The sequence below is a fragment of the Homo sapiens genome, chromosome 8 (genome assembly GCF_000001405.40).
Source record: "Homo sapiens chromosome 8, GRCh38.p14 Primary Assembly".
In the NCBI taxonomy this organism is placed as follows: Eukaryota; Metazoa; Chordata; class Mammalia; order Primates; family Hominidae; genus Homo; species Homo sapiens.
In genome coordinates, this window is record NC_000008.11 from 43469092 (window position 1) to 43485625 (window position 16534).

Below are 16534 nucleotides of genomic sequence, written 5' to 3' on the forward strand. Positions count from 1 at the left end.
TGCTGGAAGCATGAGGAAATTTTTCTCCTATATTTACTGTGGCTAAGCTCCTGGAGGTAAAACTTAGAAAAGGGCGGTGTCTGTTCTGACTAGGTCACCCTGGATGTATTAACAGAGACATGTTCACACCTAGTCTCCAGCGAGTTATCAATCATAGTTCAGGGTTTCCTACCTTGACACTGGTTCCCATTAAGGCCTCTGTTTTAATATGTGGTGATTCTCTGTATTTGCCTGCTTGTGTCTTCTATTCTGGGCACAGTGGTTTGCTCTGTGGATCTAAGAAGAGTTGTTATTTACTTATTTTTTTGTTTGTTCAGTATTTTACTTTGTTTTTACAACAGAGTGGTGGCTTCCAAGCTTTTTCAATGTAGAATTGGACAGCAGAAGTCCCATATTATTTTCAAGTGCCCATGTAATAGATACCCAATTGAGCCATATTCTTATCATAGCACAAACTTTAATACATTTAAGGAATTGAAATCTTGCAGAATAATGTATATCGTAACAACAGTGGAATCTAACTAGAAATGAATAATAGAAGATTACAGAAAAATCTGAAGCACTTGGAAGCAGAACAGCACATCCTAAATAATCCATGGGTTTAAAAGGAAGCTTCCAAGGAAATCTAAAATCACACTGAACTGAATGAAAATGAAAATACAAATTATAAATTGTGAGATAGAGCTAAAACAGTGTTGAGAGAGAAATTTATAGCATTGAGTACATCTTTAATGAAAGAGAAAATGTATTCAATCAATTATCCAAGCTCCCATCTCAAGATCCTAGGGAAAAATAAACCACATGACACAGAACAAAAATAAAAAAGTTAAGAGAGAAAATTAAGAAAACATAAATACTAAAACAATAAAGAAACATGATGAAAAAATCTGATACAAATATCACTAAAACTTCCAAACCTCTAGAAAAACATAATAAAAAAGAGAGAAGACACAATATCAGAAATTAAAGAGAGGATATCACTACTGGCTCTATAGGCATCAAAAGAATAATACTAAGGATAGTAATGAACACATAAATACAAAAACTTAGTCAAAATAGATACCTACATTACACCTATATGATGTAGATTATTTCAACAGGGCTATGATTATTAAGAAAATTGAATTTATAATTTTCAATTTTTAAAGAAGTATCCAGGCCAAATTGGATTTGCTGGAAAATTCTATCAAACATTTAAAGAATTAACAATGTTACACAATTTCTACTAGAAAATAGAAGACTAAACACTCCACAATTTTAGGAATTTAATATTACTCTGATACCAACATCAGACAAAGACAGTACAAAGATAGAAAACACATATCAATATGCCTTATAAGAATGGACTCAACAGTCTCTCACAAAATATTAGTAAATGGAATTAGTAATATATAAAAAGACATTCACCATGAACAAGCAGGGATTTTTCCATGAATGTAAGCTTAGTTCCATATTTGAAAATCAATCAATATAATCCATAGTATAAACCAAAAAAGAGAAATTACATTACCGTAAGAAATAACGTAGAAAAAATTGACAAATTTAACACAAATTTGTGATAACTCTCAGAAAATAGAAATTGAGGGGAGCTACCTTAACACGATGAACAGTATCTACAGAAAGCCTGGAGCTTATGTTATGCTTGATGATATAACACTGTTTTTCCCCTAAGATATGGAATGTAGCAAGGATGTCTACTGTGAAATTCTTATTCATAATAGTGTTGGACAATCAATACAAAAGATAAGGAAATAAAAGTCCTACAGATGGGAAAAAAAGAAACAAAACTGTTCTCAATTTCAGATGGCATGCGTTTCTAGGAAGAAAATCTCAAGGAATATACAAATATAAATTATAGAACTAATATCTTATCTCCTGCAACCTTCAGTAAAGTCACCAGATATAAGATAAACATTTAGACATCATATTTAAATATATTAGCAATAAATACATGACATCAGTATTTAAAATGTGATATTACTTACAATCACTAAACAAAATTTGAAATAACTCTAAATCTAACAAACCATGTACAGGGCTTGTATGCAGATAAATACAAAATACTGATGAAGCAAGCAAGGAAGAACTACATAAATGGAAAGATATGTGTGTTTAGAGATTGAAGGAATCAACATATTGAAGATGTAAATTCTCCCTCAAGTTAACATACTGATTTAGCACAGTTCTCATCAAAATCCCAGCAATACTTTTTGACATATAGGTAATATTATTGTAAAATATATCTGTATAAGACAAAATATTAGAACAGCTGAAACAATTTTGGTGTGTAAAAATAAAGTGGGAGGAATCAGTCTATCTGGTTTTAAGACTGATTAGATAGTTGTAGTATCCAAGGCTGCATGAAATTTTTGAAGAGAGAGACACACAGATCAAGAGAAAGGATAGAAAACCAGAAATAGACTTATGCAAATTCTGCTCAAGTGATTTTTTTTTTTTTGCAAAAGTGAAAAGGAATTCAAAGGAAAAAAGATAACATTTTAAACAAATAGTGTAGGGGTGACTGGACATCCATGATGAAATAAATAAAAGAATTAATTTTTAGAAATTTTGCCTCACATTTTATACAGAATTAAAACAAAATGTATCATAGACTTAAATGTAAAATGTAACACTATAACATTTTAGATAAAAATTCATCTTCATGATATGAGATCAGGTGATGAGTTTTTTAATTTGACAACAAAAACAGGATTCATAAAGGAAAACTGATTATAATTTGACCTTATCAAAATTAAACAAATTTAATGTGAAAAATCCTGGCAAGAGGATGAAAATACAAGCCAGAGATGCGTAGAAATACTTAAAAAACACATATCTAACAAATGGGCTAGTTTATAGCATGTGTAAATAACTCTCAAACTCCCTAGCATAAAAAGAAACAATTCCTGCAGAGTGCAGTGGTTCACGCCTGTAATCCCAACACTCTGAGAGTCTGAAGCAGGCCGATCACTTGAGGTGAGGAGTTTAAGAGCAGCCTAGCCAACATGGCAAAAACCCTTCTCTACTAAAAATACAAAAATTAGCCAGGCATGGTGGCACATGCCTGTAATCCCAGCTATTCAGGATGCTGAGGGAGGAGAATCATTTGAACCCGGGAGGCGGGGGTCGCAGTGAGTCGAGATCGTGTCACAACACTCCAGCCTGGGCAACAGAATAAGTAGCTGGTGGAATTAAATTGTCAATCTTCTCCTAGTAAGAAAGTGATTGAAGGTGGTAACAGAAGAAATAATCTTGGGAGATAAACTGAAAATATTAACTGCTTTATGTTCTTAGTCAAAAATTCAGAATTTACGCAGCATGCTAATCCCTATAGATTTTCTGTTTGAACAAAAGTGACAATGATCTAATCTTTAACAATACTCAAAAATGTTACAAAACTCCTTTTATTCAAAAATCTACTTTGCAATTGTTTCTAAATGATTTCCAAAAATCCTGTCAGTCGTTAACAAGAGTAAATCTTAAATACACATAACTTTATACTATCTCCTTGCATTATGTTCTTTCGATTTGACATTCTGAGTGTCAGAATGATTTAACTTAACATAAATTACATCAGGAATATTTTTATATTGTACTTGGTTGTTTACATATTAATGACATTGACACAAAAAAATACTTGTTTTAATTCAATCTTTGTGAAAAGACATTACTCCAAAAGGATATTGACCTTCCACTTGCTATCTAGGGTGACGTCTGCAGTAAAGATTTGGGGAATGGCCATTTCCTTAAATGCTGGCTGGCCTTAATGCACCCTCAGATATTCTATGTCCCATAATAATAGCCAAGGTATGGGAATGGGATTTCTAATATGTAGGGTAAGAAAGGATGACAGGTCTGCTTTACTAGTAGGAGAATCTCATTTTGGGTAGTGGAGGATATAAAAGGAAAATTAATCCAGACATTAGAAACTTGGAAGATTTCATTATTGTAATGAAGCCAACATAGGAAATGTGCTACATTAATCCTGCTGAGGTTAAATATTTCTGAGAAAATGTGTGTATTTCAGGAAAAAATCTTCACTGAAAATACTTTAGAGTCATTTCTTAATTGTGCCTCTTCTCATCCATTAGATGGGAGTGAATATTTAATTCATTTAATGGATTAAAGTACCAATACCAGTAAAATACCAATAATCTATATTAGGGATTTTAAAAAGTGGATAGTAAAGTTCATATGTAAAAACAGATAAGAAGAGCTCAGAAAACACTGTAAGAGAAATCTGTGAAGGGGGATTTGCCCTAAAAGGTAAAAACAAACCAATACAAAATCTGTATAATAAAGCCAGTGTGGTATCAGAGCAGAAATAAACAGACCAGTGGAATAGAATAGGAAGTCTGTAAATAGGCTTATGTGCATATGTCACTTTTTTTATAAGGGATAAGTGGCATTTCAAATCACTAACATAAAGATGAGCATTTAATAAAGGGTGCTGGAGCAACTGGGTAGCCATTTAGAAAATGATAAGGTTAGATGTACATCTAACATCATAGACAACAATAAGCTCCAAATGGATGAGGAATAAAATGTAAATTAAAATCATAAAAGTGTGAGGAAAAAAAGATGGGTGGATTTGTCTCTGAACTTGGTATAGGGAAAATGTTCCTAAGGATAACTCAAAATCAGAAGCAATCAAATAAAAGATTAATGTATTTTACTACATAAAACTATTTAAAATGCATGCCCCAAAGACCGCAAGAACAGTCAAAAGATAACTGAAAAACAGAAAGTATATGTAACATACACCATGGTTGAAGGGCTAACATCACCATTATATAAGGAATTCCTAAATGTTAAGGGACAGAGTAGTAAAACTTAGAAAAATGGAAAACCAAATATTATCAGACAAATGATAAATAAATATTTTAAAATAACCTTCAAAAAGGTAAAAAGTAAAAACTAAATCATAGTAAGGAAAATGTTATTTAAAACAAACTAAGATACTATTTTCTATTTATTATATAGGTGAAAATTTAAAGTGTCCTGTTGGTGAGTCTGGAGAAACAGGTACTCTCACATATTGCTGGTAGAAATGATCATCAGTCTAAAAGTGTAAAAGGGACATTTGAATACACACACATACATGTATTTCTCTCTTCTCTCTTTCTCTCAATGATAGATAGATAGAGAGATAGATAGATAGACAGATAGATGAATGATAGATCTATATTCTTGCTTTCTGACCAGGAATCCCACTTCTAGGAATCTACCTTAAAGACATACCCCAGTAATACGGAAATACATAAGCCTAAGATCATTTGTGTTTTATTCACAATCACAAAATATTAAAGACAACCTAAATGACCATACTTAGGAGAGTGGTTGAATAAATTATGGCACATCTACACAAAAGAGTTTTTGGCATGAGGGCAAGCTCTACGCACTGAGCCGGGTCCATGTATAGGATATGTTATTAAGTGAAAAAAGTAAAATGCAAAAGAATGTTTGCAGTATGCTACCTCTCATGTAAAAAAAAGGAGTTTATATATTTATATGGTTCCATTTATGTGAAGTGTTCAAATTAGTCACACTGACAGAATAAGTAGATTTGTAGTTACCTAGAGCTGGAGTGGAGGGGATGGGGAGTGGATGTTAAATGGCTACAAGGCCATTTTGGGGGAAGATGAACATGTTCTAATTAGATCATAGGGATGCTTAGACAACTCTGCTAATACACCAAAATCCACTGAATTGTATAGACTTTGCAGAAGTAAAGTTCATGACATGTAGATTATATAGTACTAATAAATGTTCTAAAATTTAGAAAAAACAGAGGATTTAAGAAAACATATATGTATCAGATTTTTTGTGCCAAAAAATATAGGGAGGAAAAATCACACTTTAAAGAGATTGATTACCTATTGAGGGGATGGAAATATAGGAGAAGAGTGAAAACAAAGGGAGAAATAAATATAGAATATTAGGAATGAAAAGAAACTATCACACTTCTGAATATACATGGGATATGGGATATAGTTTGGATCTTTGTCTTCATCCAAATTTCATGTTGAATTTTCACCCCTAATGCTGGAGGTAGGACCTGGTGGGAGGTGTTTGGATCATGGAGGTGGAGCCCTCATGGCGTGATGCTGTCTTCATGATAGTGACTGAGTTCTCATGGGATCTAGTGGTTCAAAAGTGTGTGGCACTGCCTTCCCTACCACACTCTCTCTCTCTCTTGCTCTTGCTCCTGCTCTTTCCATGTGACATGCCTGTTCCCGCTTTGCCTTCTGCCATGATTGTAAGCCCCCTGAGGCCTCCCAGAAGCAGAAGCCGCTATGCATCCAGTGGGGCTTGTAGAACCATGAGTCAATCAAACCTCTTTTCTTATAATTTACTCAGTCTCAGGCATTTCTTTATAGCAATACGGTAATAGACTAGTACAATATGTTTGTATATTTTTGACTTGTAGAACTATAGTAGTTGTTCACATACTTGAAAAATAAAAGAATAAATAAAATCAACCACAATATGTGGGAAGTACAAAATCAAATACAAATATTAAAAATGAAACTAGCTGTATTACAAACGAAAAACATAAGCACACAAAAATTTGGGAAAAAGTGAACTAACCTAAATAATTTCAGGAAGCAATAGTTTTTGACTGGATATTCTAATGCTAAAGATGAAAATAATTATAAATAAATATTGAGCTCTAGTTAGTAAAGTTGTTTCTCAGAGGGTTATGTGTAGGTGATTCTGAAACCATGTGTAGACTAGGATTAATCAAAGAATAAATGTATTGGAAGTAATTAGAGCTAAGTGTCTCAATATTGAAGAAAGAATTAAAAGAAAGGGAAGGTTAGAAAAAACACTATTTTGGTGGAATGGCATTATAGTTGTCAGTATGAACTCTTGGTTTATAATATACACATACATAGGTAGATATAGAAATAAATATAGCTGTATAACAATGTGTGGATTAGTATTTATATCTCTGTTTCTATCTACTGAATCTATTTCTCTATCTCTATATCTATCTTTCTATCTATCTACATATAATCTATCTATTTCCTAGGTCTATATGCTAAAAGGGCCTAGGAAAATGATGTCCTGGTAGCAATGAGGACACCAAACAGAGAGCTCTTTGTTTCTAAGTATCATTCTCCACTTCAAAATGAAGAAACAACAACAATAAACCAGAGATTTGTGGAGAAGTGGTTGATCTAGACCTAGCACTAGGAAAGTATGAGATGAGCCTGGAAATTAATTGTTCATAAAGAATAAGGAAATGTCAAAACCTGACAGAGATCCCATTGGCCAAACCAGGCACAATCTGAGCAACAAAATAAGTACTGACAGTGTTGGATTATAACTCATAAAATAGAGGTCCATGAATTGGTCATAACTTAACTAAATAATGGAATAAATGAATAATTCATCCTACAAAAGAATTCTAACTAATACATATAGAAGGCACAAGGGAGATACAGAAATCATCATTAAGTAATCATTAATGCAGGCAAGATCCACTGCTGAATGCTAATGTGAGTAAACAGAAGTATGAGGAAAAGCAAAATATTTGAATAGTCTCAAAGTACCTATCTCAAGATATGTATTAGTTACACAAGGGGAAAAATAGTAACTTTAGGCTGGGCATGGTGGCTCATGCCTGTAATCCCAGCACTTTGGGAGGCCAAGGTGGACAGATCACCTGAGGCCAGGAGTTTGAGACCAGCCTGGCAAAGATGGTGAAACCCCGTCTCTACTAAAAAAATGAAAATTAGCAGGGCATGGTTGTGCAAACCTGTAATCCCAGGTACTTGAGAGGTTGAGGTAGGCGAATCACTCAAACCCAGGAGGTGAAGGCTGCAGTGAGCTGAGATCATGCCACTGCACCCCAGCCTGGGTGACACAGTGAGACTCCATCTCAAAAAACAAAGTAACTTTATAGTAGAGAAATACAGCAAACAAAACTTATAAGCAAGTAATGATGCTTAACATCACCAGTAACAAAACATCTATATTTCACAAATCCTAATATGGTACACTGAAAAGGGAACACCTCTGTTGTATTCTCATATCATCATCCCAACCACAAGTAAATAAATAAAAGCAAGAAGCATAACCTCAATATAATCATGAGAAAACATCAGAGAAACCCAAACTGAGAGACATTTTACAAAATAACTGAGGAGTACACATAAAATGAGTCAAGTCATAAAAAGACAAGAAAAAACCTGGAGATTGTGTCAGAAATTGGATAAGACTAAGGAGACACTACTAAACACAACATGGGGTATTGATTTATATCCTGAAACATGAGAAGATCTTAGTGGAAAAAGTGGTAAAATTCAAATAAGACATTGCAGTGGGATAATTAAGGAATCAGAGAGACCGAGGGGTTGAGGAGGAATTATTTAATTATTTATGTGCAACAACTCAGTTGGATTAACATCCAAAGGACTGAGCCCCAAACAAAGAGTCCGGTTACCTTTTAAGCATTTTGGGGTGGTGGTGGTGGGAGATCTGTGCAGGGGGAAGCATATTACAGAAGTGAGAAACAAAGACAGTTATTCAATTAAGACATGCATTACATCATTTCTTACTTTTCAAGGAATAGCATGTTTTACGACTTGAGTTTATCTGCCTAGTGACCTTGCAGCTGCACAGCTAGAGAAACAAGGTCTTCACAATGCCTGGGAAGGGGAGAGATAAGGCTCACTAGCCACAGAAAAGCAGGCAGTTAATTTTAAAGGACTCCAGCTCTTTCTCTTCTTCAGGGGGAATTGGGTTTTCTTACATACAACTGAGTTTTTGCTTACATTCTTTAATTTGTTTTAATTCCTGTTCCAACATGTTACTTGGTCAATACTGCTGAACCAATTTAATTTTCCTAAATGTATCTTTGTTATGTAAGTTGCTACCATGAGGAGCAGTGAGGTGAGGGGTACACATGAATTCTCCTTATTAACTTTGCAACTTTTCTGTAAACATAATATTATTTCAAAATAATAATAATAAGAAGAATGAGGTGCTTTTTACATTTTGGAGATTCAAAAGTTGAGCAAAGAAAAGGGAATGCAAACTGCCCAAGCTGAAACAGTTGTCCATCCGTGATTTAAAATCCAAAAGCCTGAATTCAAAAGCCATTGTCCTAAAACATTCACACAATGTTTAGAATGATGAAGGCACTCAATAACTGAAGGCATTTATAAATTCCAATACCTCAAACTACATAGAAATTTCATATGAACCGGAGAGCAGTTTTCACTGGGTGTCAGTGGAAATGCAGTGAGAGGTTTTGTGGTGGTCCAAAATTACTTGAAGCATTGGCAGTGGGAAAGGGTCAAGAATGTGAATAGCTCTTCAGAGCATGGAAAGATGAGCATAACAACAATAAACACATCTAAAGACCAATTGTGAATTGTGAATCACCAACTGGGGAACACTGAGGAACCAAGAAAGGCATTCTAAATCTGAAAAAGTTGAGTTTGTTTATTAGATCAACACAGACAAATATGTGTAGTGTTTCCAAAGGTAGACTAGCAAGGTGCTGTCTTCTTGCTGAACTTTAAAGCTAATTGTCAGATGCTAAAGTTTGGAGTATATAATTTGTATTCAATTTAGTTACATGTTTGGAGAAAAGATTGTCAATTATTATGATTATTCCTTAGTATTTAATAAAATAATAGGTGATACTTTTATTTGGCCCATATTTGTATATTAAAATTAGACATCTATAATTGAATCAGACCTCAAACCTATATTTTGATTATTTAATCTAAATGTTTTCCAATCGGAAAATGTTACTTTTTCTTCTCATCTTATAGCACATGGAAAAAGCACCACACTACCCTGACAAAGACGAGAAAAGGAACTCAAGGTGCCTCAGTGATGCAGAATGTTATCTTCATGCAATCAGGTTCCCTTCGCAGGTGTGCTGTTTGTGGGATTCACTGTCAGCTCCCATTAATTGTATCTCCTATATTCCTTGTAGATGGTTCCCTCAATGGTGACAGCTTGTTTTAGCAGTAGTCCTATTAACAGCGACTCTCACAAGAAATATCCTCTTCAATTGAAATGGCTTCCATTCAGAACAACTCTTAGTTTTGGCATTCTGTTCTATCCATAATGAATATAGCTTTCCCCAACTAGCACTCCAAGCAACATGTGTCATATCTCCAGTGTCTCTCACCTCCTTACACATGCCTAATTTCTTCACAGTTAACTCTCGCTACTCCAAATGGATACTGTAGAGTCTTTTAGAAATGCAGAATCTCAGGCTCTATGCTAGATTTGCTAAATCAGAGACTGCATTTTAACAAGATCCCCACATGATTTATTTGACCATCAGTTTAAGATGCACTGACCTAGGTGAATCAGTGTGGCAGTTTTAGTACCATATTCAAAGGCCAGCTCATATTGGGGTCCCTGAAAAGTTTTTCAGCGACAGCCTGCTGCAAAACTTCTACAAACTATGCAGAAAGACTCTAGACTAACCAGATATTCAAAAAAATGTTCTAATCAAAATTCCTTACATGTCATTTAAAACTTGATTTTTAGGCCATTATGTAAATACCTATGATTTTACTTTTTGTAAAAAAATTCTGAAAGATGCCATCACAAAATGTGTTTGCTTGCACTAGACAATAAGCTCTTTCAAGACCAGTGTACATGAGTTACTGAGATAGCTGAATATAAAATACTGATTTGGAAGGACCTTCAAAGATTTTGTTATATATTGCTTCCACTTTCTGAAGATGTTTTAATACTTAGTGGGCATTTGGAAAAGACCTTCAAATAGTCACCTCACTCAATTATTAATTATTTAATGTACACAACAGATTTACTTCCAGTCAGCCATGCTTTTATTATCTCCTTAAAAATATTATTCTATATTATCCAGAATATTTGATTCTTCTCATAGACATATTTTAAATCTTTAAGACTGTGAATTCAATTGAAGTCTATCCAATTGGAATAATAATTAGGATTTCTCCTTAAGAAACTTACGCATGAGAGGTGGAGCCAAGATGGCTGAATAGGAACAACTCTAGTCTATAACTCCCAGCATGAGTGACACAGAAGACGGGTGATTTCTGCATTTCCAATTGAGGTACTAGGTTCATCTCACTGGGGAGTGTTGGAAAGTGGGTGCAGGATATTGGGTGGAGTGCACTGAGCATGAGCCAAAGGCATTGCCTCAGCCAGGAAGTGCAAGGGGTCAGGGAATTCCCATTCCTATTCAAAGAAAGGGGTGACAGATGGCACCTGGAAAATTGGGTCACTCCCATCCCAATATTACACTTTTCCAGCAGTCTTATCAAATGGCACACCAGGAGATTATATCCTGTGCCTGGCTCAGAGGGTCCTACGCCCATGGAGCCTCATTCATTGAGAGCACAGCAGTCTGAGATCAAACTACAAGGTGGCAGCGACACTGGGGGAGGGGTGCCCACAATTGCTGAGGCTTGAGTAGGTAAACAAAGGGCCAGGAAACTCGAATTGGGTGGAGCCCATCACAGCTCAAGGAGGCCAGCCTGCCTCTGTAGCCTCCACCTCTGGGGGCAGGGCATTGCCAAACAAAAGGCAGCAGAATCCTCTGCAACTTAAATGTCCCTGTCTGACAGTTTTGAAGAGAGTAGTGGTTCTCTCAGCATGCAGCTGGAAATCAGAGAATGGACAGACTGCCTCCTCAAGTGGGTCCCTGACCCCCAAGTAACCTAACTGGGAGGCACCCCCCAGTAGGGGCAGACTGACACTTCACACAGCCGGTTACTCCTCTGAGACAAAACTTCCAGAGGAATGATCAGGCAGCAACATTTGCTGTTCACCAATATCCGCTGTTCTGCAGCCTCTGCTACTGATATCCAGGCAAACAGAGTCTGGAGTGGACGTCCAGCAAACTCCAAGAGACCTGCAGCTGAGGGTCCTGAATGTTAGAATGAAAACTAACAAACAGAAAAGACATCCACACCAAAACCCCATCTGTACATCACCATCATCAAAGACCAAAGGTAGATAAAAGCACAAAGATGGGGAAAAAACAGAGGAGAAAAACTGGAAACTCTAAAAATCGAGTGCCTCTCCTCCTCCAAAGGAACACAGCTCCTCACCAGCAATGGAACAAAGTTGGATGGAGAATGACTTTGACGAATTGAGAGAAGAAGGCTTCAGATGATCAAACTACTTTGAGCAAAAGGAGGAAGTTCAAACCCACCAGGAAGAAGTTAAAAACCTTGAAAAAAAATTAGACAAATGGCTAACTAGAATAACCAAGGCAGAGACGTCCTTAAATGACCTGATGGAGCTGAAAACCAAGGCAAGAGAACTACGTGAAGAATGCACAAGCCTCAGTAGCCAATTCGATCAACTGGAAGAAAGGGTATCAGTGATGAAAGATCAAATGAATGAAATGAAACAAGAAGAGAAGTTTAGAGAAAAAAGAATAAAAAGAAATGAACAAAGCCTCCAAGAAATATGGGACTATGTCAAAAGACCAAATCTACATCTGATTGGTGTACCTGAAAGTGACGGGAAGAATAGAACCAAGTTGGAAAACACTCTGCAGGATATTATCCAGGAGAACTTCCCCAATCTAGCAAGGCAGGCCAACATTCACATTCAGGAAATACAGAGAATGCCACAAAGATACTCCTCGAGAAAGACAACTCCAAGACACATAATTGTCAGATTCACCAAAGTTGAAATGAAGGAAAAAATGTTAACGGCAGACAGAGAGAAAGGTCAGGTTACCCACAAAGGGAAGACCATCAGACTAACAGCTGATCTCTCAGCAGAAACTCTACAAGCCAGAAGATAGTGGGGGCCAATATTCAACATTCTTAAAGAAAAGAATTTTCAACCCAGAATTTCATATCCAGCCAAACTAAGCTTCATAAGTGAAGGAGAAATAAAACCCTTTACAGACAAGCAAACGCTGAGAGATTTTGTCACCACCAGGCCTGCCCTAAAAGAGCTCGTGAAGGAAGCACTAAACATGCAAATGAACAACTGGTAGCAGCCACTGCAAAAACATGCCAAATTGTAAAGACCATCAAGGCCAGGAAGAAACTGCATGAACTAATGAGCAAAATAACCAGCTAACATCATAATGGTTATTTTATTGGATCAAATTCACACATAACAATATTAACCTTAAATGTAAATGGGCTAAATGCTCCAATGAAAAGGCACAGACTGACAAATTGGATAAAGAGTCAAGACCCATCAGTGTGCTGTATTCAGGAAATGCAACTCACATGCAGAGATAACACATAGGCTCAAAATAAAGGGATGGAAGAAGATCTACCAAGCAAGTGGAATACAAAAAATGGCAGGGGTTGCAATCCTAGTCTCTCATAAAACAGACTTTAAACCAACAAAGATCAAAAGAGACAAAGAAGGCCATTACATAATGGTAAAGGGATCAATTCAACAAGAAGACCTAACTATCCTAAATATATATGCACCCAATACAGGAGCACTCAGATTCATAAAGCAAGTCCTTAGAGACTTAGACTCCCACACAATAATAATGGGAGACTTTAACACTCACTGTCAACATTAGACAGATCAATGAGACAGAAAGTTAACAATGATATCCAGTAATTGAACTCAGCTCTCCACCAAGTGGACCTAATAGACATCTACAGAACTCTGCACCCCAAATCAACAGAATATACATTCATCTCAGCACCACCTCACACTTATTCCAAAATTGACCACATAGTTGGAAGTAAAGCACCCCTCAGCAAATGTAAAAGAACAGAAATTATAAAAAACTGTCTCTCAGACCACAGTGCAATCAAATTAGAACTCAGGATTAAGAAACTCACTCAAAACCACTCAACTACATGGAAACTGAACAACCTGCTCCTGAATGACTACTGGGTACATAACGAAATGAAGGCAGAAATAAAGATGTTCTTTGAAACCAACAAGAACAAAGACACAACATACCAGAATCTCTGGGACACATTCAAAGCAGTGTGTAGAGGGAAATTTATAGCACTAAATGTCCAAAAGAGAAAGCAGGAAAGATCTAAAATTGACACCCTAACAACATCATTAAACGAACTAGAGAAGCAAGAGCAAACACATTCAAAAGCTAGCAGAAGGCAAGAAATAACTAAGATCAGAGCAGAACTGAAAGAAATAGAGATGCAAAAAACCCTTCAAAAAATCAGGGAATCCCAGAGCTGGTTTTTTGAAAAGATCAAAAAAATTGATAGACCACTAGCAAGACTAATAAAGAAAAAAAGAGAGAAGAATCAAATAGATGCATTAAAAAATGATAAAGGGGATATCACCACCAATCCCACAGAAATACAAACTACCATCGGAGAATAACATAAACACCTCTATGCAAATAAACTAGAAAATCTAGAAGAAATGGATAAATTCCTCAACACATACACCCTCCCAAGTCTAAACCAGCAAGAAGTTGAATCCCTGAATAGACCAATAACAGGCTCTCAAATTGAGGCAAAAATTAGTAGCTTACCAACCAGAAAAAGTCCAGGACTAGATGGATTCACAGCTGAATTCTACCAGAGGTACAACGAGGAGATGGTAGCATTCCTTCTGAAACTATTCCAATCATTAGAAAAAGAGGGTATCCTCCCTAACTCATTTTATGAGGTCAGCATCATCCTGATACCAAAGCCTGATAGAGACACAACAAAAAAAGAGAATTTTAGACCAATATCCCTGATGAACATCGATGCAAAAATCCTCAATAAAATACAGGAAACCGAATCCAGCAGCACATCAAAAAGCTTATCCACCATGATCAAGTGGGCTTCATCCCTGCGATGCAAGGCTGGTTCAACATACAGAAATCAATAAACATAATCCAGCATATAAACAGAACCAATGACAAAAACCATATGATTATCTCAATAGATGCAGAAAAGGCATTTGACAAAATTCAATAACTCTTCATGCTAAAAACTCTCAATAAATTAGTAGGTATTGATGGGACATATCTCAAAATAATAAGAGCTATCTATGACAAACCCACAGCCAATATCATACTGAATGGGCAAAAACTGGAGGCATTCCCTTTGAAAACTGGCACAAGACAGGGATGCCCTCTCTCACCACTCCTATTCAACATAGTGTTGGAAGTTCTGGCCGGGGCAATCAGGCAGGAGAAGGAAATAAAGGGTATTCAATTTGGAAAGAGGAAGCCAAATTGTCCCTGTTTGCAGATGACATGATTGTATATCTAGAAAACCCCATTGTCTCAGCCCAAAATCTCCTTAAGCTGATAGGCAACTTCAGCAATGTCTCAGGATACAAAATCAACGTGCAAAAATCACAAGCATTCTTATACACCAACAACAGACAAACAGAGAGCCAAATCATGAGTGAACTCCCATTCACAATTGCTTCAAAGAGAATAAAATTCTTAGGAATCCAACTTACAAGGGACATGAAGGACCTCTTCAAGGAGAACTACAAACCACTGCTCAATGAAATGAAAGCGGATACAAACAAATGGAAGAATATTCCATGCTCATGGGTAGGAAGAATCAAAATCCTGAAAATGGCCATACTGCCCAAGGTAATTTATAGATTCAATGCCATCCCCATCAAGCTACCAATGACTTTCTTCACAGAATTGGAAAAAACTATTTTAAAGTTCATATGGAACCAAAAAAGAGCGCACATTGCTAAGTCAATCCAAAGCCAAAGAACAAAGCTGGAGGCATCACACTACCTGACTTCAAACTATACTACAAGGCTACAGTAACCAAAACAGCATGGTACTGGTACCAAAACAGAGATATAGAACAATGGAACAGAACAGAGCCCTCAGAAATAATGCTGCACATCTACAACTATCTGATCTTTGACAAACCTGAGAAAAACAAGCAATGGGGAAAGGATTCCCTATTTAATAAATGGTGCCGGGAAAACTGGCTAGCCATATGTAGAAAGCTGAAACTGGATCCCTTCCTTAAACCTTATACAAAAATTAATTCAAGATGGATTAAAGACTTAAGTGTTAGACCTAAAACCATAAAAACCCTGGAAGAAAATGTAGACAATACCATTCAGGACATAGGCATGGGCAAGAACTTTATGTCTAAAACACCAAAAGCAATGACAACACAAGCCAAAATTGATGAATGGGATCTAATTAAACTAAAGAGCTTCTGCACAGCAAAAGAAACTACCATCAGAGTGAACAAGCAACCTACGGAATGGGAGAAAATTTTTGCCATCTACTCTTCTGACAAAGGGCTAATATCCAAAATCTACAATGAACTCAAACAAATTTACAGGAAAAAACAACCCTATCAAAAAGTGAGCGAAGGATATTAACAGCCACCTCTCAAAAGAAGACATTTATGCAGCCAACAGACTCATGAAAAAATGCTCATCATCACTGGCCATCAGAGAAATGCAAATCACAACCACAATGAGATACCATCTCACACCAGTTAGAATGGTGATCATCAAAAAGTCAGGAAACAACAGGTGCTGGAGAGGATGTGGAGAAATAGGAACACTTTTACCCTGTTGGTGGGACTGTAAACTAGTTCAACCATTGTGGAAGTCA